Source organism: Homo sapiens, chromosome 3 (genome assembly GCF_000001405.40).
Source record: "Homo sapiens chromosome 3, GRCh38.p14 Primary Assembly".
Lineage (NCBI taxonomy): Eukaryota > Metazoa > Chordata > Mammalia > Primates > Hominidae > Homo > Homo sapiens.
The window spans coordinates 87,591,821-87,619,031 of record NC_000003.12 but is presented as its reverse complement, the minus strand read 5'-3'; the positions used below and the strand labels follow the sequence as shown (position 1 = coordinate 87,619,031).

General features: G+C 38.7%; 1 pseudogene; it reads right to left on the bottom strand.

The window, feature by feature from the left end:
• Positions 23,648 to 24,226, bottom strand: APOOP2 (apolipoprotein O pseudogene 2; annotated as a pseudogene).

Below are 27,211 nucleotides of genomic sequence, written 5' to 3'. Positions count from 1 at the left end.
TTTTATTCTTTATATTAACACTAAACAGAGAAAACAACCAATTAAATGTAAAAAATAGTAGCAAATTGAGTGGCTAATGCCTTTTGGTTTTTCTTTTGCTTTTGTGAACTCTCTGATCTGAGTCCAGCAATTATAATTGCAAGAGGAGCTCATAGCTGTGTTTACAACTGAGTCTAGTTAATCTCTTATCTGTAGACCCCAAGAAACCTGTGCAGTTCTGGTTTTGTATTTATAATTTATTAGTGCATTCTCTTATGAGACTAAAGTAATAATAACTCAAGTATATTTTCTGCTTCATAAGGTGATGTTTCTAAAAGTTATTGGTTGCATAAGATAGTATAAATATTTATAATTTTCCCCGTTCCAATGAACAACTCTATAGATCCCAAAGTATGTAATATGAATATGTAAATTAAGTTATATAAATTAATAGTGTAGCATCAAAAGGAAAAGTAATTAATTTTTTTTCATCAGCATTTTTTTGAGCAACTGATATATGCCAGGCACTCACTGTTATAGGCACTGGAGATAAAGTAGCAAACAAAATAGATAAAAAAATCATGTACTCATGAAGCTTGCAATCATTGTTACATGTAGTTTGGGGTGCGTACACTCACAGTGGGCCTTGTTCAACCTTACCTGCCCCAATATACATACACTGGAGTGCAGACACTTTTCCTTGCTTTCAAGACATCTTGAATTCTCCTATTCATTGCACTTATCAAATTGGACTGAAATTGTTGTACTCCACAGTAGACTATTATATTTATGGGTTAAAAATCATTTGTATTCATCTCTATGTTCCCAATGCTTAGGGTAGCACCTGGAAGAGAGTAGAGAGTTCCTGGAACAGAGAAGAGGGTTCCATAATTTTTTAATTGAAGACACAATTCCACTTGTTTCAACTGCTCATGATTATTGTTCAATTATGTAACCTTCTGAAAGAACTAAAATTCCAATTCCTCCTTGAGAAACTTTATCATCTTCAATCATTGCTGCCAGCCTAGCTTAATATTCCTTCTTTCAACTTAGGGAAAATTCTTGTTGTGAAATTAATATGAGATTTCATCTCTGTGATTTTCCAGAGAATCATATTGATACATACTGAGACAGCCAGGTGGGAGGGACTCCTGGAGAAAATCCAGACAGCCTGCCCGCTAAAGTAGAGACTTGGGAAGTTCATGCGGTTAGCAGTAGGGCGGAGCCTGGCCCCTCCTCTTCCTGTGTGGAAGCTGGGATTCAAGCTGCAAGCGAAAAGTGATGTAGCAGGGTCTCTTGCCTAGTGAGAGTCCTTGTTTCCCCCTTTTTTTCCTTTTCATCCAATAAAACCCTGCTTTACACACCCTTCGCGGTTGTCTGCAAGCCTAAATTTTCGTGGTGTGGGAGGGACAAGGACCCCATCTTCAGCTGAACTAAGAAAAAGTTCTGCAACAATACCATTACCCACAAACACATACTTATGGGCTATTAGGGGCAGCTAATCTTTATGTAAACTAGATTTGAATACCAAAATAGTTCAAATCTACCTTATTATATGTTTGATGTTGAAAATATAAAAAATTAAGTATGCTAAATAAAACTTAGGTAACAAACTTGAAATGGCTTTTGTAGTATTTACCTGTTATTTTCAAGTAGGAAAATCACTAAGTGATAGTATTTTTTTGCTATGGTTCACATTTTCATGTAACAAGAGCCTCCGATTCTCTTATAATTTTACACTAACCAGAAAAGATAAAAAACAAATTAGTAAAATACCTTCAGACATTAAGGTAAAGAACATAAAACTGAACAAACAGGACAATCTTTCAGACATTAAGACTAAGAAGAACAAAGCTCATTTGAACTTCCTTTTCAAGAGCCTTTGCTAACTTCAGATCAAACCAGATAAAGAATTATATTCTGATCATGACTCAGGGATCAACAAATGGAAACATAAAACTAATTTTAGGTATCATTGGCTGGACTAGCACTAAGCCAAAATTCGAAGGGTATTTTTTGTTAGTAATCTCCTTTCTTCTTCTATTAAGCCCTTATTTTTTTTCTTTTTTATTGATATCCACCTCATCCCAAGGTCTTGTGTTCTTTAACTGATCTTTATGCCTTTAATGTTTCCTACCTTTAACTCTCTTATTGCCTCATTTTAAAGACATTAGCAAACAAACGCACTTGAGAAGCAGACTTCCTAAAGAGTGAAAGAGTGAGAAACCACGTTCTATGAAAATAATGGGGATGACTAGTCCCAACAAGAGGGAGGACTTAAAAACTGCCTACAAATAAACAAGTTTTCACGTAGAAGGAAAGTCAGTGTGTTCAAGATGTCCCTATAAGACTGAACTAGAACCACAGTCAACAGTGGAGGAGAAAAACCTACAGGTGATTATATCATATGTTCACACCAGGTGTGACTTTAGACTAAATATCTGATTATTTCTTGGGATTTTATTTTTGAACATTTGAATCAAAAGTACTATGCTGAAGATACTACTATAACCTTACCTTTGACTCTTAGAGTTATTGTCTGGGTCTCTGCAAAGGGACTTTTAATAACTTTAAATTAAAATCTCATTTTCCCTATTTGTAAAATGATGCAATAATAGTGGCTATATTATAAGATCATTCTGAGGAGTAAATGAGATATATGTACACTTCATTGCACAGAGCCGGTTATAGAGTGCTTACTCTATTAAGTATTTTATTTGTGATGAAGGAGTTCAGGAAATGCCACCTCAAGCTATGACACTTTGGTGTGCTGATTACTTTAAACTGAGGATGACACTTGGGGAGCAGTAGATGCAGGCAGAGGCTTTCTCTCAGTCCCCACATGTGCCTAAGGAGGTGTCAGATACAGTAAGTACCTCTTCAAAGGTGTAATTTCTGACTTCCTTGTTCTTTGTTCTCAAGATCAACTTTCTGTCCCTTCTCCTAAGCTACCTGTTCTGTAAACAACTTATCCCACAGGTCCCAATCTGTAACTCACACCTCTTCCTTATTTGGAAAGAGTCCTCTTTACTCCTGGCTACCCACTCGGTAAACTGACCCTCCCTCTGAAAGAGGTATTCCTGCTGAAACTACCCTTCCCAGCTTTGCCACGCCCTGACATGCCCAAACATAAGCCTTGTACCATAACAGACAGGCTCTCCCTTCCTGCCTAATTAACTATATTCAATTTTAAACAGTAGCCAATTGGGTCAGTTTAGATTGTGCAGTCTGATTCCAGCCAATGGGGACAGGTCACAGAAGCAGGGATTAACCATGTTAGGGATAAAAACTCGTTCAATCCTTTATTTGGTGTGCTCTCACAGTGGCCAGAAGTGCAAAGAGCACCCTTCTGCAGAAGTAAATTTGCCTTGCTGAGAAATCATTCATCTGAGTGCTCGTTTTCCTTGCAACTCCGAGCTCTTGTTTCTAACAACTTTGGGGCTTGTCTGGGATTGCCTTTCTGCTCTGGGGAGAGGTTCCCACCCATCTCTCATGAGGAGATGTGTCCCATTGCCTCGCTGTGGTAGTCTCAGGGATGAGGGATTGAGACCTCCCCAGCATGGCGAATAAACCTGGACTCTCTGCAACGGGGGTGAAAAGGATCCTCACGTACTGCAGCAACCAGGTAACTCTGTGCACAGACCAAGGTAAGAAAAGTTGCGGGGGTGACAAAGTATTTCCTCAGTGGTTGGGACATCTTGAAGGTTGAATGTGTGTGGTGTGTGAATGAGATGCACAATTAAACACAAAGTGAGTGCAGAGTCTGGGTCTGTGGTTCCGTAGTCACCTCATACGGCTTATGGTGGATTCCTGCTGTGGGGCTTATACTGACATGCCAATGCTAAGAGAGACCTGAATTCCTGTGAGGGAAGAGGCCAGAGAAGGATGAAGCGAAAGGAAAGGAGTGCAAGAGAACTCCAGCAGGGGGGGCTTAAATCTCTAGAGAAGGGAAGGCAAGAAATCTCTAATATGAGGGATTAAGCCTCAGCAAGCCTCTAGAGAAGGGAAGGCATGAAATCTCTAACATGAGGGATTGAGCCTCACACCAAACCTCCAGGATGGGAAACATCCCAACTAAGACAGGAAATAAAAGGGATAAAGCTAGTGATAATAATAACATTCCCTCTGATATTCCCTTAGGTCTCATGTTAAAATATTGGAGGGATAATGAAAGGACTAAACATAAGAAAAAACAACAAATGATAAAATATTGTTGTTTCATTTGGACCACAGAGCCCCTCCTCAAATGCTCAGTTTTCTGGCCAACATTTGGGTCAAATGAGGATTGGATTTGTCAACTTCTAATAGAGTATGTCAATGACAAGAGTCCCATCTCCCAGGAGGAAACAGATTATGCCCTGTGTTGGTGGCAGGGATGCGTCCTTCTTTACCCCCTAAAAGCTAGAGGAAGTAAGCCAGAAACCAGCTCCTCTGAGGAAAGTAAGACCTCTACCCCAAAACAACCCACCAATGTATGGGACCCACTAGACCACCCACCTCCACCAAATTCCACACCCCAAGCAGACACACAAGACCCTCCTCACTCAATTCCTCCTCCATATAACTCCAAGTCAATGCCTGCCCCTATGCCCCCTGCCTTCCCTAACCACACGCCTGTGTCTATATCTTCTCCAGGAAGGCTCCAGCGTGAGATAGAACAGTGTAAAAAGGATATTCAGAACTTCTCTTTCCCCTCCACCTCTAAGAAATCAGCCCCAACTCTCTTCCCCTTAAGGGAAGTTCCCCTTGGAGGAGGAGGCATCGGCTTCGGAAATGCTCCCTTAACTATCTCAGAAGTTCAAAATTTAAAAAAGGAGCTCAAGTCATTGTTAGATGACACTTGTGGGGTAGCAGATAAAATTGATCAATTCTTAGGGTCACAGCTGTATACTTGGGCCAAGTTAATGTCCATCCTGGGCATCCTCTTTTCAAGGGAAGAAGGAAGCATGATCCATAGGGTGACTATGGTAGTCTGAGAAAGTGAACATCCTCCTGGCCAAAATGTTCCTGTGGCAGACCACAAATTTCCAGCCCAAGATCCTCAATGGGACAATAACAATGCAAATCACTGAGAGAATATGAGAGATCTCAGGGAAATGGTAATAAAAGGAATTTGGGAATCAGTACCCCAAATCTAAAATATTTCCTAAGTGTTCGATATACAACAAAGAAAGGATGAAGGACTGATGGAATTCCTAGATAGGCTGAAAGAGCAAATGAGAAAATATGCAGGCCTAGATTTAGAAGACCCTCTTGGGCAGGGAAAGTTAAGTTACATTTTGTTACAAACAGTTGGCCAGATATTGCTAAGAAATTACAAACGATAAAGAATTGGAAATACTGGACTATTGAAGAGCTTTTAAGAGAAGCTCAAAAAGTATATATGAGAAGAGATGAAGAATAGCAGAAACAAAAAGCAAAAATTATGTTATCCACCTTCTAACAGGGGTTCCAAAAGACGAGGTCCACTGATACTACTCTCTGTTACCAAGGGACCCACACCCCCTAAACAAGGCCTATGGGGGGCTAAAACTTACAAAGGGTTTAAGTCCTCACATGCTAGACAATATAAAGGACATAGAGAGTTGAGACCAGGGAACCTCAGAACTGGAAGGGAGGGAGGAAAAAATAAATGCTTCAAATATGAAGTAGTAGGTCATTTTAAGAGAGAATATCCCAAATGGGAGAAGAATAAAGAAGTCATTCCACTTGGGGCTTCTGAAGGAGAATAGGGAGGTCAGGAGCTCTGCTCTTTTTATCTTGAATCCCACCAAGAGCCCTTGATAAATTCAGAGATGGGACCCAAACATGAAGTTATAATCTTTTTAATAGATTTAGGAGCATCTCGCTCCTCTATTTGTTTCTCTTTACCTAATGCCCCTTGCTCCTCAGAAGAACTTTTTGTCTCGGGGGTGAAGGGAGAAGGGTTTAAAGGAAGATTCTTAGAAGACACAGAGGTCAAATATAAAAATCGATCAACCCACGTTCAATATCTGTTAACCCCTGAGGCAGGAACTAACCTGTTAGGAAGAGATTTAATGCTAAAACTAGATACAGGCCTACATGTCTGTCCAAATGGATTTCTTACCTCATTAAATCTAGTCACCACTGGAGATGAAAAATACATTCATCCTGATGTATGGGCGAGAGAAGGAAATTGAGGAAGACTTCAAGTAGCCCCAGTACTTATAAAGTTAAAAAACCCCAAGGGAAATAGAAGAAAGCAATATCCCATTCCTCTAGAGGGCAGAATAGGCCTAAAACCTGTAGTAGAAGGTCTCATTCAAGATAAGCTTCTTGAACCCTGTATGTCACCTTATAACACTCCAATATTGCCTGTAAAGGAATCAGATGGGTCATAGCAACTAGTGCAAGACCTCAGAGCTATTAGCCAAATAGTCCAGATTACCCACCCTCTTGTTCCCAACACTTACACTATCCTTAGCAAAATACCATATGACCATCAATGGTTTATAGTGATAGACTTAAAAGATGCCTTCTGGGCATGCCCCTTGGCTGAGGACAGCAGGGACATATTTGCTTTTGAATGGGAAGATCCTCATTCTGGACGAAAGCAACAATACTGATGGGCAGTCTTGACCCAAGTGTTCACAGATTCACCTAACCTCTTTGGTCAAATCCTAGAACAGGTTCTAGAAAAAATTTGTATCCTGAAACACATATGCTTGCTCCAATATGTGGAAGACCTGCTTTTATCTGGTGAGGCTATAGAGCAGCTGGCTGCTTTCTCCACACACCTTCTTAACTATTTACAAGAGAAGGGAATATGAGCTTTCAAAAGGAAAGCTCCAATTCGTGGAACCTGAGGTTAAATATTTAGGACACTTAATAAGCAAAGACGAGCGAAGGATAGGGCTCAAACGAGTCCAAGGAATCATGTCTTTACCTTTGCCTAAAACCAAGCAAGAGCTCAGAAAATTTTGGGGATTAGTTGGGTATTGCCAACTATGGATTGATTCTTATGCCCTAAAGACAAAACCCTTATACCTGAAGGTCACCCAGGAAAAGCCTCACCCTCTCCTTCCTCACTCCTGATGAAACCCACCAGGGTGAGGAGTTAAAACACCTACTCATCACTGCTCCCATCTTAGCCCTGCCTTCCTAGAAAAACCACTTCACCTTTTCATTAATGCAAACAAGGGGGTAGCTTTAGGGCTGCTTCTCAAGAGCATGGGGGCCACAGACAACCACAGTTTTAGACCCAGTAACCTGTGGGCGGCTTGAATACATTCAATCTATCATGGCTACCACCTGTTAACTGAAGAAAGCAGGAAGCTAATCTTTGGGGGAAATTGGTGGTGAGCACACCCCATCAAGTTAGGACAATCTTAAATCAAAAGGCAGGAAGATGGCTCACCGAATCAAGGATTTTAAAGTATGAAGCTATCTTATTAGAAAGAGATGGCTTAACATTAACCACTGATAATTCACTTAGCCCAGCAGGTTTCCTGACAGGGAACCCAAATCCAAAAGGACCTGAGCATAAATGTTTAGATTTAATTGATTATCACACAAAGATCAGGCCCAATTTAAGAGAGAGCCCTTTCAAAACAGGACAACATCTATTAATAGATGGCTCCTCCTGGGTAACTGGGGGAAAAAGGCATAATGGGTATTCAGTGGTCTATGGGGAAGCTCTTGAAGAAGTAGAGTCAGGAAGATAGCCCAATAATTGGTCAGCCCAAACATGTGAATTGTTTGCATTAAATCAAGCTTTAAAACATTTACAAAACCAAGAAGAGACTATTTATACTGATTATAGGTATGCCTTCAGGGTAGCCCATACCTTCGGGAAAATTTGGACTGAACGAGGTCTCATTAATAGCAAAAACCAAGACTTCATCCACAAAGAATTAATCACCCAGGTATTACATAACCTTCAGTTGCCAGAAGAAATAGCTATTGTCCATGTTTCAGGACACCAGACAAATCTTTCTTTTGAAAGCTGAGGGAATAACCTCACAGACCAAATAGCCAAACAAGCCACTGTTTTCTCTGAAACGCCTGTTTTTCACCTCACCCTTGCCTTTCTCCCCCAACTGCCATTCCCATCTTCCCCCCTCTTGAAAAGAAGAAATTAATAATAGGAGCCAAGGAAAACTCAAAAGGAAAATGGATGTTACCAGATCAAAGAGAAATGCTAGCCTAATCTCTCATGAGGGAGGTTTTATCTCAGCTGCATCAAGGAACCCACTGGGGACCTCAAGCTATGTGTGATGCAGTTCTTAGAGTCTATGGATCTATAGGAATTTATGCTGTAACAAAACAAGTTACAGATAGTTGTTTAATATGCATAAAAACTAGTAAGCAGGTTGGGCATGGTGGCTCATGCCTGTAATCCCAGCACTTTGGGAGGCCGAGGCGGGCGGATCACGAGGTCAGGAGATCGAGACCATCCTGGCTAACACGGCAAAAACCCGTCTCTACTAAAAATACAAAAAATTAGCCAGGCGTGGTGGTGGGCACCTGTAGTCCCAGCTACTCAGGAGGCTGCAGCAGGAGAATGGCATGAACCCAGGAGACAGAGCTTGCAGTGAGCCAAGATCGTGCCACTGCACTCCAGCCCGGGCGACACAGTGAGACTCCGTCTCAAAAAAAAAAAAAAAAAAAAAAACAAACAAAAAAAACCAGTAAGCAAACCCTAAGAAAACCACCCCTTGGAGGAGGAAACCCAGGATTAAGTCCATTCCAAAGCATCCAAATAGATTACACTGAAATGCTCCCAATAGATCGCCTAAAGTATCTACTAGTAATAGTGGATCACCTTACTCACTGGGTAAAAGCTTCTCTTTTCAAGTGCAGCTGCCAGTAATGTAGTTAAGGCATTCATCAAAAATATTTTACCTGGTTTGGATTAATAGAAAATATTGATTCAGATAATGGAACCCATTTCACTGCACCTGTCATTAAAAAGCTAACCCAAGTATTAGAAGTAAGGTGGGAATAGCATACCCTCTGGCACCCACCTTCATCAGGAAGAGTAGAAAGAATGAACCAAGCCCTAAAATGCCACCTAACCACATGAGTTTTAGAGACTCGACTATCATGGACCTAATGCCTTATTGAGGGTCCGAACTGCCCCTTGGAATGATATTGGCTTATCTCCTTATGAAATGCTATATGGGTTGCCTTATTTACACTCCACTGCTGACATTCTTATGATTGAAACTAAAGACCAGTTTCTCAGGATCTATATACTTGGTCTGTCTTCCACTTTCTCTTCTCTCAGAACAAAAGGCCTTTTAGCACAGACGCCACCCTTGGAGTTTCCAGCACATCAGCGTCAGCCTGGGCATCACGTTCTCATCAAAAGCTGGAAAGAAGGAAAACTTGAACTGGCTTGGGGAGTACCCTATCTAGTGCTTCTAACTGCAGAAACCATGGTCTGCATGGCCAAAAGGGGATAGACACAACACACGTGGGTGAAAGGAGTGGCTTCTCCAGCCAGAGAAAAAATGGGTTGTCACCCCAGTGCCCACCCCACCAAATTAACTCTAAAAAGGGCTTAATAATCACTTGTTTATTTTCCCTTTCTTTCCAATAGAAAGTCACCTCGTCATCAGTGTGACTCAAACTAACCATCCCTTAACCCTTCAGTTCGATGCTTGTTCAGTCATCTAATGTGGAGACGGACGAGCTCAAAGGCAGCTATCAAATGTAGATCAGTATCTATGTCCATACCGTAGTGAGTTAACTAAGTATAAGTATGGAGCCTTACAAAGTCCCTGTGGTAACTGGACGGATGTTTGGCGGACCACCCAATATGGAGGGTGGACAGCCAGGCCCCCTTCTTCAAACAAGTTGTGAAGACTGAAACAGAAACTCCAACTTATTCATGGTCCCACCCCAACAAATTGTAAGTCATAGCAGTGTAACCCCTTCTTGCTAATTATAGATAATCCCCAAACAATGGCCAAAGAACCCTCCATATTCGAATGGTATGGGTTAGGAGCAGATGTTAGAGGACAGGACCCCATAGGAATCTTCTCTTTGAGGTTGGCTAGACCATCAGCTAAAAACAATAAAGAAATCCAGACCCAGAGTCTGGGGAAACATATGGGACCCAACGCTCTCCCCAAACAATGGGAGGCCCATTGTTCTCCCCCCATCTCCAGAAGACCCAACTCAGGGTGGAGGTAAAAGATTTAAGGCAGACTATAGCTTTAGAGACAGGGTACAAAGATGCAAATGCGTGCCTGGAATGGATTAAATATTCCATCTACACTCTAAGCAAAATTGAGTGTTACACTTGTTCGCACAGCAGGCCAGAGGCCCAGATTGTCCCCTTTCCACTCGGATGGTCCTCCAAACAATCAGGCATGAACTGTATGGTAGGTCTCATCTACAGCCTGGGGTAATGAATTATGCCGAGCTCTCTCTCTGCTATTCCTTCAAGTCCCGCACCCTGCTGGTCAGCCCCCGAAGGCCATCCAGCTTCTGTCTCCTGATGCCAATTTTACCTCGTGTCTTTCACAACAAGGGGAAAACTTAACATTTCTTGGAGATCTAAAGGGATGCAGTGAGCTTACGCCATTCCAAGAGCTGACAAATCAGTCTGCCCTGATCCATCCCTGAGCAGATGTATGGTGATATTGTGGAGGACCATTACTGGACACTCTGCCAAGTAACTGGAGTGGCACTTGTGCTCTCATCCAATTGGCCATTTCTTTCACCCTAGCATTTCATCAACCAAAAAGGATAAAGAGAAACCATTGTGAAACAACAGATGCCCCTCATGGGTCCTTTGTCTCTCATGTTTACATAGATGCCACTGGAGTCCCGAGAGGAGTGCCAGATGAATTTAAGGCCCAAAATCAGATAGTTACAGGGTTTGAGTTTGTACTATTCTGGTGGTTAACTGTAAATAAAAATGTAGATTGGATAAATTACATCTATTAAAATTAACAATGATTTGTTAACTATACTAGAGATGCTATTAAAGGGATAACTAAACAATTAGGACCCATCAGCCAAATGACTTGGGAAAATAGAATGGCATTAGACATGATACTAGCAGAGAAAGGTGGAGTTTGTGTCCTGATTGGAACTCAATGTTGTCCTTTTATACCTAATAATACTGCTTCTGAGGGAACCGTAGCAAAAGGATTACAAGGTCTTACTGCTTTATCCAATGAACTAGCTAAAAATTCAGGAATAAACAATCCCTTCACTAATTTAATGGAAAAATGGTTCGACAAATGCAAAGGACTTATGCCCTCAATCCTTACTTATCTTGCCATTGTAATAGGTGTGCTATGACACTTTGGTGTGCTGATTACTTTAAACTGAGGATGACACTTGGGGAGCAGTAGATGCAGGCAGAGGCTTTCTCTCAGTCCCCACATGTGCCTAAGGAGGTGTCAGATACAGTAAGTACCTCTTCAAAGGTGTAATTTCTGACTTCCTTGTTCTTTGTTCTCAAGATCAACTTTCTGTCCCTTCTCCTAAGCTACCTGCTCTGTAAACAACTTCTCCCACCAGTCCCAAACAAATGGGTTTTGTTCATTTTCAGTGTACAATGGGTACAATGGGTTTTGTTCCCCTCCCACTGAAACAGCTCTTCCCGCCAAAACTACCCTTCCCGCTTCGGCCATGCCCTGACATGCCCAAACACATTTGTACATAATGGACAGCCTTTCCCTTCCTGTCTAATTAGCCATATTCAATTTTAAACAGTAGCCAATTGGGTCAGTTTAGATTGTGTGGTCTGAGTCTAGCCAATGGGGACAGGACAAGAGGCAAGGATTAACCACGTTAGGGATAAAAACCCCTTCCCTCCTTTGTTCGGTGTGCTCTCACAGTGGGCAGAAGTGTGAACAGTACCACTTTGCAGAAGTAAATTTGCCTTGCTGAGAAATCCTTCATCTGAGTGCTCATTTTCCTTGCGACTCCGAGCTCTTGTTTCTAACAGAGGGATCCTAAAAAAGGAAGTCAAATGTCCTGAATCTTCTCCCCAGGAACCTTATCAACCAGGGAAGATTAACTCAGATCATAGGAGAGGAGACTGAAGGTGGACAGCACCTCCAGACAGACCTATTTTTTGAGAGCTGCTCAGAGACAACTTTTCTTATATGAGACTTCTTATCTGCATAACAAGACAACCTTTATTCACCATGCATGTTCTCCCCTCACCTTCCCATAACTTGTGTCACCATCACCCTCCAGAAGTCCCAATCCTGTCTTTGGTTCTGCAGCCCAGGATGCTATATAAGCTTCCTTCATCTGGCCATCCTGTGGGTCTCATATTTTGTGAGACTCTCCTGCATATATATGGAGTAAATATGGTTTTTCTTCTTTTAATCTATACCAATTTAATACATAGTTCGTCCAAAGAACCTAGAAGGGTGAAAGAAAGACATTTTTGCTCCCCTACAATGATTATTATTATATAGTGTCTAAGGAAAAATGCTTTTATACACTTCTAACAGCTACATATGATGACTAAGTTTCCTTAAGGCACCACATTACACAATGCCTATTAGGCTAAGCCTTCAAATGTGCTGATCCAGGAGACCAGAGCTTACAAAGATTTCAGTTAAAATCTTTGTTTTCTGGATCTTAGTCTGGAAGTTTCAAGACATCTTTCCACATGTTATAAATTGTTTAACATCAGATCCTGCCTAAACCCAGAAACATATATGCATACAATTTACTATTTTTTAGGTCTTTTATTAAAATCAAATGTTAATTTTAATATTCCAACTATTACACATATGGAATTTAAAAGACTAACATGTTATTTTTTCATTATTATGTGTGTATCAACAACAGAAATTAGAAAATTGAAAATTACAATTAATTAAATATATGTGGGTATGCAAAAGTTTATACATAAGAGTGGTGAAAATACAGGAAAGATTTATAAAGTAGTATGTATACAAGAAAACCAAAATCAAAGTAGTAAGTTGTCCCAGTAGGTACTAGTTCCTTTAAATAAGGTCATATTATTGAAGAAAGACTTTCACTGAAACTTGTGCTACTGGGCACATACTCTCAGGTGGGTTTTTGCCTTATCTTGGATGGGTCACCATTGACAGCAGGCAACTAAGTTAAAGGAAGAAATACAATATTCTGAAAAAGTTGTATGTTTGGAAAGGGCTCTTTCACATGAACACAGAATTTGTTCTATAATTTCTCTAAAACTGATTTAGGTTTTAATAACATATGGGAAACTAAAAATATTGAGGACAACAAAAAATATTGAGAACATGTAATGTGAACCATTTCTCTTAAATGTGGTATCCATCTTTCAAATAGACCTAATTTAGAATTATAATTTTATAACTGAATATAACATAATAAACAAAATTGAGTTTGTATTTAGCCAAAATCTTCATGGCACAGATGGAACTTGGACAACTCTTTGATAGAATGTTTATAATTAGTATCCCTGATTCTGTGTAGAAATTGTTAATTTTTCTGAATGTTTTAGATATTTCATTTTAAATTATCTGATAGGCCTATGGCATTATTTTTTAAAAATATATAGTTTCAAATAGCTAGAAAGGAATATTGAATGTTCCCAAGACAAATAAATAACTGTCTGAGATAATGGATATACTAATTACCCTGATCTGATCACTACACATTATATGTATCAAAACATCACTATGTACCCCATAAATATGTACAAATATTATTTGTCAGGTAAAAATAAAACTAAATTAAAAATAAAACAAAACTTAACTATCAAGTTTTAAATTAATAGCTTTTCTATTGTTAAATAAATACCATTCTTAATTGCTGGTTACCAAGTGCATTAATCAACACTTGCTGTAGTAATAATTCCCAAATTGCAGCAGATTACAACAATAAACATTTAGTTATTGCTCATGGTACATGATGTTTATGGGCCAAGTGTAGCTCTACTTAATATGCTTTCTCATTCCTGAGCCCAGGTTAACATACCAACCTCTGTACTGGACATTCTAGTCCCTCTGCAGAGGGTAAAAAAATTCTAGAGCGGTGCCCGGTGTGGTGGCTCAAGCCTGTAATCCCAGCACTTTGGGAGGCCGAGGCGGGCGGATCATGAGGTCAGGAGATCGAGACCATCCTGGCTAACATGGTGAAACCCCGTCTCTACTAAAAATACAAAAAATTAGCCAGGAGTGGTAGCAGGCACCTGTAGTCCCAGCTACTTGGGAGGCTGAGGCAGGAGAATGGCGTGAACCTGGGAGGTGGAGCTTGCAGTGAGCCGAGATCGCGCCACTGCACTCTAGCCTGGGTGACAGAGCGAGACTCCATCTCAAAATAAATAAATAAATAAATAAAAATAAAAATAAAATTCTAGAAGATGAGCCAACTCTGTATTTAAGCTACTTGACTGGACATATATCCCATCTGCTCACTTATATTGGCCAAAGCTAAGCTAGTATAAGGAAAATTGATTAAGCGGGAAAATTGGGTGAGCTGGAAGAGTGAACAAAATTTATACTCTTATTAAGCATGTATTCACTTCCCTCCTGCACACACACACACACACACACACATACATATTAATACTCCAGGATGTCTACTTCAGATCTGGATACAGCTTCCCAAGTAATTAAGAAAACAAGTTACCTGGATCCATACTACCAATAAACACAACCAACATACAATGAGGGCACAAAGACAGAACAATGGTAATAAACCCATCCATTCACAAAGGGGAAGAATGGCAATGCCACTGGATAAATAGTATAAGAACTTTTAATCCTGACAATAGCACATGTTCTTTCATTAGGCCATATTTTCTCTCTGAGAATTCTTCCCTAGTTCATTATTTTTTATAGCTACTGGATCCACTCTGAAAATGACTTATTTTTCATTTTCTGTCTTGACGACAGCTGATACAGTCATTGGAAAAGAGACCTTCATTGGAAAAAATAAGCATCTTTACCAGCCTGCTTTCTTTCTTATAAAGTGGGGTGCCCAAAATCATTTTACAATTCTACTAGTAAGTTTGTTTTCATCGAGGTTAATGGCACGTTTCACCATATCAATCTCTTTGAAAAACTAAATAAAAAAAAAATCCTTTTGATTGTTTCAAAGTCTGTGTGCCAATAGCCATAATTATTATTTTTAAGAATTGCCTCACTCTCAAAGCACAATTAAATGTACTTTGAATTTATCCAGCTCCTAACTTTTGACTTCTCTGGGACCAGGTCCTTGGTCTTTCTTTTTGGAACTACTTTATGCAACTGACAGCATTCACGTGGGGCCACCTTAAAACAATCAGAGTTTTTGGCAAAATACCTTTTTCCTGAGCCTAAGTCATATTTAGGATGAGTCTTAATCACCTTTAATAGCCCAAAGCATTTCTTTTTAAAATATTTTTCTCTGACCCTAGATGAGAAATAGTCTCAATTTTTAAATGATACTACTCTCAGAATGTCTAGACTTGTTATTTTTTCTTTCACACCTATTGTAAATAAGGTGATTCTTTTCTCAGTTCATCAAATGCAGAAAACATCCAATCAATGCTAGTAACATTCTGTTTCAAATTTTCTTTTTCCGAAATTGAAAGTCTATTAAGTTAATTTTTTGTGTTTCAAATTATTATAGGCAGGAGTTTCCTGCACTGCATGACAATGGTTGCCATTTTTTTTCTAGGCTCTGAATATAGTCCACAGCCCAGCACCAGTTTGTTTGTTTTGTTTATTCAGTAGCGAAAGTCCAGCGTTGAGTACCAATGGTATTCTATGGTTTCTGTTGCGGTAATAAAAACCTCCAATATCTTAACGGCTTATAAGAACAAACATTTATTTCTTGCTCTTCTTATACATTATTTCTGGCTGACTGCACTCAGCTCCACATGTCTTATCAATCAAAAACCCATGCTGGAGCAACAGCTTCTATTCGGTTTAACTTGTTTTCATAGAAGAGGGTAGAAGCTAAAGAGGCTGATCCTAAAATATGAAGTTATTTCTAAAGGTTATCTTTGGAAGTGTGAAACATGTATTATTCACTCACATTTCATTGGTCAAAGCAATTTATGTGGCCAAGCCTGACAGTGGGTAGGGGAAGTTTACCCAAAGGCACGAGGGGGTGTGAATATTTGGGATTAGGAGTACAATTTTATTTCATTGTGTTAACCTCCTGCATGATAAGAAATGTTTTTGTAATCGAGACCATCCTGGCTAACACGGTGAAACCCCGTCTCTACTAAAAAATAGAAACAATTTGCCGGGCGTGGTGGCGGGCGCCTGTAGTCCTAGCTACTCGGGGTGGCTGATGCAGGAGAATGGCATGAGCCCGGGAAGCGGAGCTTGCAGTGAGCTGAGATCGCGCCACTGCACTCCAGCCTGGGCGACAGAGCAAGACTTCGTCTCAAAAAAAAAAAAAAAATGTTTTTGTAGACCTCCAGACAGGAATACAAAAGTGAGAAAATCAGATCTATAATATCTGGGTTAAAACATTTTTTATTGATAATTGTCCGCAGAGTATATTAGGTAGTTTAAGCATGACAAAGACCTCAGTGCTATTTTTTTTCACTTTGCTAAGACTGAGAATAGGAAAACATCTTTCTTTTTAAGTAATTTCACTGCCTTCCAAAGCCTTGGTGATTAAAAGAGTATGACTAGAGAATTTTTTTTCTTTCTCAAAAGTTAAAACATATTAAGGAAAAAAGGGAAAAAAGAAGCAGTGAAGCAGCCTAATTGTAGTCTTTCCAGAACAAAACAAAAAAAAAGGAGATAGAGAATAAAATACTCTAATAATAACTCCAAATGATCTGTTAAATGGACCAAAATAATTACTGCTACTGTATCAATAGCCATATGCGTGTTACAATAGTGCAATACTTTGTAACATGAAAATCTGTTCTCGTGGATGAATTAAAGAGAATTTTATGAGATTTCGCTAACACGTACAGGAAGAAAATAGAATATACTTGGACTTGCTTCCCAGGGATATTGAGAAAGCTAAAAAAATCTCTGCAATCCTTTTCATTCTTTCCAATTCCTAGTTAGTAGCGTTTTCATTTCATTAGAAGAATGGCATTTTTCCTTCTTGATTTGGGAGTAGTTAATGGTCAATACTTCCTATGTAAACATCATGTTTATTCTGAAAATAGATTAAGAAGATAAATGAAATGTATGCATACAATAAATTCAGTGATATTAAATGCCTTTTCCCAGGAAAATGAATAAATGTGCTGCCTGCTTAATAATATTTTGATTGAAAAACATTCTGATCACCAGTTATCTCTTTTGAGTTAGACGGACTGATTTTATGTTAGTAATTAAGATATTTTATACACTTTATACTCTTTATGGTTTCTATACTATGTTCTTCCTCTCTGTTTTATAATTATTTGTGGAGTAATATGAAAAAAACTTCTAAAATAAATGGCAGATTTTTCACAAACTTCTTTGAGATCAACTATTTCTTTTTAAAATCTTACTCCTTTCCTCTCTTTTATTGATATTGAGTCAATATCTTCAGTAATAACTGAATAACCTTTTAATTTTCTTAAAATATAATAATATATAAGATAACATAGCTGGAATGAATGAGAAATACTATTGTTAAAAGAGATATTATTTCCAGTATGTGTATAATTTCTGGTTGAAGGCATTTATATCTTAGGAAGAAATGAAAGGAAATGCCAAACTATGATGCACGTTTCACTTCACAGCCAATATGGTTGGAGGATTTATTAAATGAAGGTCAAGAAAAAAATTAAAACCAAATATAGACATGAGCTAGAATTCAAATTAGATCACAGAAAATGTAATTATTTCTTAATTAGCCAGATTCTGTCTCCTTAGTAGAAAATACGAAAGTATGGGCCAACTGCAATAATTCTCTGAGACTTCTGAGGGCTCATTTCAAAACTCATGACTTGGGTTCAATTCAGAAAACAACAACATTAAGAATCTGGAACGCCTGTTATTCAGAGTGAGCCTGCCCTTTGCAGTTTTGCTTCCTATAACGCCAGTGGGAACTCTAAATGTAATTTTTTCTCCATGACTGACCCAGTCCATAATTTATTTGGAACCAAACTGGAGTACTGCATTTAACTTACACCGCCTTTACAGAAAAATTCTTTGAAAATACTGTCTTTAGAATGTCACAATAATAGCCTTTTGACATCATACACACGACTTATAATTATCCCACGCCTATTGTATCTCCTCATATATAATGCTTCACAGAAAGCCAAGTGGAGTGAGGAAAATATTTAGTGTTAATTGGGCTTCTGTAAAAGCATTGCTTTTTACCAATATTGAATCAGATATTCAGATAACTAAAAGCCAGAAGCCCAGTTGAAATACTGTTTATTGAGGCCTATGCAAAAAATAGGCTGTAAAACTTTGGCATAGTGAGATATGATCTAGTTACAACAATGAGCTCAGTGCCTCAATTTGAGTCACTTTTGTCAGACATGGGACACAGTGAAGACACTGAATTGAATTTAACTTTGTGATTTCTTTAAATAACTTAAAGTTAATATTCTAATTTTGTGATTTTGTCATGAACCTAAAGTTGTGACTATTAATATAATTCTGATAAAATAGCTTATTTTATGGAGTATATTTGGTTAATTCTTATAGTCACCTTACGAGATATTTGAAGAAACAAGAGGTTCAGAGGGGTCAGATGTTTGAGATTCCACTGATGGTAAGTGAGCAAGCCATGATTCAAGTCAAATGTAGTATAGTTGCGAAGCAGACTTCCCTTATTGTTTTATTACCTGCTTTTCTCTTATTTACCCAAATCTGAATCCCAATTTGTTACTCATGATGTTAAGAAAAACACTACATAATTGTTAGTACCCCAAATTTACTCATGTTATTCTGTCGTGAATACATGCAAACATTTCATGCCCATGCAAACACATCCACTCTCCTCCACTCCAGGAAAAAGTCTCAGCTCTCCTTGGGCACATGGATAAACTGCCTCATTACTCAGTTTTTAATCTGTAAATTGTCAGTAAAATAAAAAATACTTATTCCATGCTAAGGATGTGATGATAATTGAGTTAACATAAATTTCTCATAGGAGGGCTTAGTATGTAGTAAATGTTCATATTATAGTAGTATAAGCGATTATTATTATCACCAATAGATATATCTTAGCTTCTGTGCCCCTGTATTGAGAAGTACCTGCTAAGCATGTATTAGTTATTCCTACTGTTATTCTGTTCCTGTAGCAATAAATGATTTCTTCTTCTGAACTCAAACAGCTTATTATTATTATAATTTATTTTCTACTTGGAGCCTTCTTTTTTGTTATTGCTGCTCTATAGTACTAAACGTTTTTCACTGTCTAAATTTTAACATATTTGTCATGGGATTAAATGTATAGTTCTTAATTCTTAATTCAAGTATAAACTTCTCTGTACATCTTAATATTCTTTTAAAATGATGTCTCATTTTGGCACCCAAAGCCCAGCATAATATATTGCTTATTTTAAATTCTCAGGATGCATTCTCTTAACCTTGAACTAAATATAGTTAAAATGTAAACTTTCAAAACATGACTATTTCTTAGAATATTAAAGTGAAAGTTGAAGATAATCCATCAATTAATTCATTCATTCTTTCTTTGAGCAAATGCTATTGAGTTTCCACTAGGTGTTAGTATCTGAGGTAAAGATATTGAATAGCTAAAAATATTTTTCTCATGGAATTTAGAATAAGCCTTCTTGAATGTAATCACATATCACCAGGGAAGCTTGTCAAGATGCAGGTTCTGATTCACTTCTTCTGGGATGGAGCCTGAGCATCTGCATTCCTACAAGCTCCCAGGTGGTCCTCATGTCCTTGGCCCTATGAACACATAATGAGCAGCAAGCACCCAATACCTTCTAGAATACTCCATATTGCATATTTATCTCTCTTTCCATTTCTCCTCGGAGCAAGGGAAAGCTTCGTTTGCCACACCCTTACACATCCTCCCCAACCCGGAATAAGTAAACACATGAAATTGAACAGTGGCCAGGTAAGCACTGTATAAGAAAAAGGCTTGTAACTTGACTTCAACTACTAATAAGCTTGTGGTGTCATAGGAAAAACTCCTCTGTCATACACTATTATCAATTATGTTTGCCCAAAAGATTTTACCTAGAAGCTTAGAGAATACCACAGTGTGGTCTCTGAACCAAAAGAGTATTTTCCATTGGTAAGTTGTAGCTCTAGTTCTAGAATTTACTACATTTTGATTGTGTGGTAAAAACCTGTTCTACAGTCATGCCAGCTTCTGACATTTCTAGGTCTTGGGGCCTGAGAAAGTAAATATAATAATACTTTAAAATTCTAGCCCAGCTTTCATTTTTTCTCACCATTCAAGAAATGCAAGAATGTGAGTCATAAATAGAATTACAATAAGTGATTTTCTAATTATGTCAAACTTTATATAATTCTACTAATCTCTAATTTATAATGGTCATAACACCCCAATAATTTTATTGAGTAATTTACATTAATCATGCACAAAACTATATTTAACATATACGGTGTTCATGTCTAAACTTTTATTAGGAAAAGACTATCTTCTCTCAAGCGTTTGCTTTGAAATTTGATGTGAAGTCAAAGCCACATACAATCTCTTAAATCTTGCCCATGTGATATGGTTTGGCTGTGTTCCCACCCAAATCTCAGTTTGAATTGCATCTCCCAGAATTCCCATGTGTTGTGGGAGGGATCCAGGGAGAGGTAATTGAGTCATGGGGGCTGATGTTTCCTATGATATTCTTATGATAGTGAACAAGTCTCACGAGATTTGATGGGTTTTTCAGGGGTTCCTTCTTTTGCTTCTTCCCCATTTTCCCTTACTGCCATCATGGAAGAAGTGCCTTTCACCTCCTGCCATAATTCTGAGACTTCCCAAGCCATATGAAACTGTAAGTTCAATTAAACCTCTTTCTTTTGTAAATTGCCCAGTCTCAGGTATGTCTTTATCAGCAGTGTGAAAATGACTAATTCAGTAAATTGTTACCAGTAGAGTGGGGTATTACTGAAAAGATACCCAAAAATGTGGAAGCAATTTTGCAACTGGGTAACAGGCGAGATTGGAACAGTTTGGAGGGCTCAGAAGAAGACAGGAAAATGTGGGCAACTTTGGAACTTCCTGGAGACTTGTTGAATGGCATTGCCCAAAATGCTGTTAGTGATATGGACAATAAGGTCCAGGCTGAGGTGGTCTCAGAAGGAGATGAGGAACCTGTTGAGAACTGGAGAAAAGGTGACTCTTGATATGTTTTAGTAAAGAGATTGGTGGCATTTTGTCTCTGCCCTATGGATTTATGAAATTTGAACTGGAGAGAGATAATTCAGATTATCTGGCAGAAGACATTTCTAAGCAGCAAAGCATTCAAGAGGTGACTTGGGTGCTGTTAAAGGCATTCAGTTTTCTAAGGGAAGCAGAGCAAAAAAGTTTGGAAAATCTGCAGCCTGACAATGCAATAGAAATGAAAAACCCATTTCTGGAAAGAAATTGTAGCTGGCTGAAGAAATTTTCATAACTAAGGAGGAGCCAAATGTTAATCCCCAAGACTGTGAGGAAAATGTCTCCAGGCCATGTCAGAGACCTTCACAGTAGCCCCTCCCATCACAGGCCAGGAGGCCCAGGAGGAAAAAGTGATTTTGTGGGCCAGGCTCAGATCCCCTGAGCTACGTGCAGCCAAAGGACTTGGTGCCCTGTATCCCAGCCACACCAGCCATGGCTGAAAAGGGCCAACATACACCTCAGGCTGTGGCTTCAGAGGATGGAAGCCCCAAGCCTTGGCAACTTCCATGTAGCGTTGAGGCTGCACGTGTGTAGAAGTCAAGAACTGAGGTTTGGGAACCTCTGCCTAGTTTTCAGAGGTATGGAAACACCTGGATGCCCAGGCAAAAGTTTGCTGCAGGGGCGGGGCTGCATGGCAAGCCAGTGCAGAAGGCAAATGTGGGGTTGGAGCTCCCAAACAGAGTTCCTGCTGGGGCACTGCCTAGTGGAGCTGTGAGAAGAGGACTACCATCTCCAGACCCCAGAATGGTAGATCCACCGACAGCTTGCATGCACCATGCCCCTAGAAGAGCCACAGGCACTCAATGCCAGCCCATGAAAACAGCCAGAAGGGAGGCTGTACCCCACAAAGCCACAGGGTTGGTGCTTCCCAAGACCATGGGAACCCACCTCTTACATCAGCATGACCTAAAAGTGAGACCTGGAGTCAAAGGAGATCATTTTGGAGCTTTAAAATTTGACTGCCCCACTGGATTATGGACTTGCATGGGTACTGTAACCCCTTTGTTTTGGCCAATTTCTCCCATTTTGAATGGCTGTATTTACCCAATACATGTACTCACATTGTATCTAGGAAGTAAGTAACTTGATTTTGATTTTACAGGCTCGTAGGTGGAAGGGACTTGCCTTGTCTCAGATGAGACTTTGGACTGTGGACTTTAGGGTTAATGCTGAAATGAGTTAAGACTTTGGAGGACTGTTGGGAAGACATGATTGGTTTTGAAATGTGAGGACATGAGATTTTGAGGGGCTGGGGCAGAATGATATGGCTTGGTTGTATCTCCACCCAAATCTCAACTTGAATTGTATCTCCCATAATTCCCACGTGTTGTGGTAGGGACCAAGGGGTGGGTAATTGAATCATGGGGTCCGGTGTTTCCTGTGCTATTCTTGTGATAGTGAGTAAGTCTCATGAGATCTGATAGGTTTATCAGGGGTTTCTACTTTGGCTTCTTCCTCATTTTCTCTTGCCACCACCATGTAAGAAGTCCCTTTCACCTCCTGTCATGATTCTGAGGCCTCCCCAGTCACATAGAACTATAAGTCCAATTAAATCTCTTTCTTTTGTAGATTACCCAGTCTGGGGTATGTCTTTATCAGCAGTGTGAAAATGGACTAATACACCATGTTACTAGCTTTGGAATATTCCTTAAATTCTTTTCCGTCTCTCATTTATTATATGGGAACATCTCAGTAAGATTTTCAAAGCAACACTTGTTGATCTTGGCCAATGTTTTATTGCACCTGCCCTAATTCTGCCCTTGAGAACGTTCAGTTCTAGAGCAGTTTCCTCTATATATATGTGTGTATGCACACATGCCGGTTTTACAATATCCTTCATATCAATATCAAATGAAAAATTATATTGTTGTCCTAGTCTGGAGGCAATTTTGGCAGCCAGCTCCTAGTGACTCATGCTCGGTAAGTATCACCATGACCATGAAATATGCAAGATCCATTGTTCTAATGCAGGATAAGATTTCAATTTTTATAATGCATAATAATTTTTCAGTTTTGTGCCATGTGAGTGCAAAAAACATATAACAATGGTGATGCTCTGAATGAGATTCTAAATTACCATAATTGGTCTCCTCATAGGGTTGTAAAACAAAAAAAAAGAAGATTGAGGCAAGTCTCAATTGATTTTGAGGTTTATTTTGCCAATGTTGAGCAAAGAAGAAGAAAAAAACACAAATAACAGGAGCATCTGTGGTCTGTGCCTTTTCCAAAGAGGGTTTTGATGACTTCAGTATTTAAAGAAGAAAGAGCTAGAGGGAGAGGAAGGAGAAAAAAAATGGTTGGTGAGGGTAGGCAATGAGACAAGTGGTTACATTCTTATGGGGCTTTGATTAGTACTCACAGAATATGCATTTTACTTGTAAAAGCAGAGTGTAGAGAAACAGTCAATTACACATTATATTTTACATACGATAAGTTCTCCTACAAATCTTCTGGGACTATGTATCTTCATAAACCCCAACCATGTAAACTCTCCCCACTGACCTGGGCAAATGCAATGAATTATTGTAGATAATAGATAGAGGCAGCTAATCCCATGAACCCAGAAGGCTATACCTTCTTCTTTATTTTTGTAGCTTTTGCCAAAAGGAGTCCAAAAAGGCCAGCAAAACCAATAACACCAAGTCTTGGAAAATATCCTGGAGGTGCATTTGGAGATATTCATAGCTGTCTAACCCTCATTGACCCAAACTTTGCATCTTGGGATTAGTTTGGGAGTATGTTTCCTGACACCAACTTGTACATGGCCTACAATAATGTTGGAGCTGAGAGATGCTTTCTTCAAACTGGGTCCTCCACTCCTCCACATATTCAAATTCACCCTTAGGAACTGAGTAGAGTGAAAGCTCATCAAGCTTCATGGGATATTTGAGAGGTGAGTCCTTTCTTGGTGTTGCATAGAGTTTGAAGATGAGCAAACACATGCCAGCTTGCTCCATGGACCTCTGAGTTGCCTTGAACGTGTTACTGGCAGCAGTGGCTCCATCAGGGTTGAGCAGGAGTTTAACTCTTGGTCTGCACTTCTTGAGAGTGTCATGTTTAGAGACATGATGGATGTGAGCATCAGTAAAGTGTATAGTTGGTAACTAAATCTATGTGAATTTTGATTTGGAATTTGTATGTGTTCTTCTCTGTTGCATGTATGGCAAGTCTATCTAATTGGTAATTGTAACCACTTCCTCCATTCTCCTGGGGTATATGATGACTGTCTATCATGTTTATATGCCTTCTGTCCCCACAACTTCATCAAGAGTACTTTATAACTTTGCTTACTCCACTGTTACGGTCAATTTTGTGTGTCATCTTGCCTGATCTAAGGAATTCCCAGACAGCTGGTAAAACAGTATTTCTGGGTTCATCTGTGAGAGTGTTTTCAGAAGCAATTAACATTTGAATCAGTAGACTGGGTGAAGAAGACTACATTGACCTTTCCTAATGTGGGGGGGCATCGTTCCATCTATTGAGGGCCTGAATAGAATGAAAAGGCAGAAAAAGGGCAAATTCCCTTTATTTGAGCTGAGACATCCATCTTCTCCTGCACTTGGACATAATTGCTCCTGGTTCTCCAGATTTCAGCCTCAGATGGGAGGTTATACTATCAGCTCCCTAATTCTTAGGCCTTTAGAGTGGAGCTGAATTATACGATTGCCTTTCCTGGTTCTCCGGCTTGCAGAAAGCAGATCACAGGACATCTCAGCCTCCATTTCCACGTATATTACTTTAAGTCTCTTACGTATATTCTATTGGTTCTGTTTCTCCATATAACCCTGATTAATTGATATGGTTTGGTTCTGTGTCCCCATCTAAATCTCATCTTTAACTTTAATCCCCATGTGTCTAGGAACCTGTGATCTCCACAAGTCGACGAAGGAAAATGATTGGATTATGGGGAAAGTTTCCCTCATGCTGTTTCGTCCTTCCCATGAGATCTGATGGTTTTATAAATGGCAGATTTCCCTGCGCTCTCACTCCTTCTCCTGCCACCTTGTGAATAAGGTGCCAGCTTCCCCTTCCACCATGATTGTAAGTTTCCTGGGTCATCCCCAGTCATGCGGAACTGACTCAATTAAAACTCTTCTTTATAAATTATCCAGTCTCAAGTAGTTCTTCATAGAAGTGTGAAAATGGACTAATACACTAACATACCCACAAAACCCTTACTTAAGTCAGACTAAGCCAAACAAATTATAAAAATGTTTGTGCATAGCGTTTTTGTGTGTGTAATATATACAAAGTTTTATACTTGTGTTCAAAAGTGAGCTTGAGCTTCTTTCCTGTGTTCTTCTTTTCTATTTGGGGGATCAGTATAATAAGGCTTTCTGACTTTTTCCATGCCATCTGGGAATCAAAATTACAATAAAATTGTCAGGTAAACGGGAATGTTTTCTACCATTTTACAATACTCTAAAAAATATTTAGAAAACATTATTTCTGTTAATTAGACATTTGGTAAAATTAATTGATAAACCTATTATGTGCCTATTTTCTTGATTAATGTTTACATTTAGTTTATTTTTACTGAGTTCCTCCAGATTTTTTTCACCACTTGAGCGAATTTTGGCAATTTTTATTTTAATAGAAAAATTATCTTGGCATCAAGACTTTAAAATTTATTGTATGACATTTACGTATCTGTAGTTAAGTATCCTTTTTCCTCCTTGTGCTATTGATTAGTCAGAATTTGCAAAGGTTGTGAATATCATTTATCTTTTCAAGGATCCAGATTCTTTAATTTACTTTTTAAATTGCTATTTTATTAACTTCTACTTTTTATTTAATTCTTTATTATTTCCTTTAAAATAGTTTTTGCCTTTTTTCCCCAGGTAATAAGAGTCTCATACTTTCCCCCCGATCTTTCTAATAAATGTACTAATTTTAAAAATTCTTATTTTCACATAAATATACTCTATGCTAATCATTCTCCTTTTAATGCTGTGTTAGCAGCATTCTATTCAGGTTTAACTTATAGCAGGCTCATTATTATTAATTTGTAGATAATTTCTGTGTTTGTTTGTGAGAGCTGCCATGGCAAAGTACCACAAACTAGGTGGGTTAAACAACAAAAATTATTGTCTCACAGTTCTGGAGGTTGGAAGTCTGAAATGCAGGTGTGGGTAGGGTTGATTCCTTCTGAGGGCTATGAAAACAGGATGCATTCCAGCCCTCTGTTCTTGGCTTTAGATGGCAATCTTCTCCCTATGTTTTCAGATTGTCTTTTCTCTGTACATGTCTGTGTCAAAATTTGACCTTTTCATACGGACTTCAGTCAGATTGCATTAGGGGCATAACTTACTTCATTATTATCTTATCTTAGTTTAAGTAATTATAGTCATGCTTCACTTAACTGTGAGGATACGTTCTAAGAAATGTGTCCTTAGGTGATTCTGTCATTGTGCAAACATTATAGCCTATACTTATAAAGCCTAGATGATATGGTTTTCTATACAACTTGGCTATATGATATGTCCTATTGCTCTTAGGCTACAAAACTGTACAGCATATTACTGTACTGAATACTGTAGGCAATTGTAACACAATAAGTATCTGTGTAACTAAATATATCAACATAGAAAAGGTGCAGTAAAGCTATGATATTATAATCTTATGGGACCACTGTCATATTTGTAGTCTGTCATTGACCAAAACTTTATTTGCAGCATATGACTACATCTGCAAAGACCCTGATTTCAACATGTACATTTTGTGAGGTCACAATTAGACCCATAACAATAAGAAATTGAAGCTTTTTTCATTGTTTCATGATAAACAAATGTAGTAAGAATATTTATTCTTTTTGGAATTGATTAAAATTATTTATTTGGAATTTCTTTTTAAAAGTCTAATTGGTTTTTACTTAAATACCTTAAATCTTTATTGTTTCATCAAGAAAAGCTCATGGTGATGAAATCTTTTTAATAAATTGTTCTCTGAAAGTGAATACTTTTATATTTCCATACAGTTAGGACTTTCTGAGGAA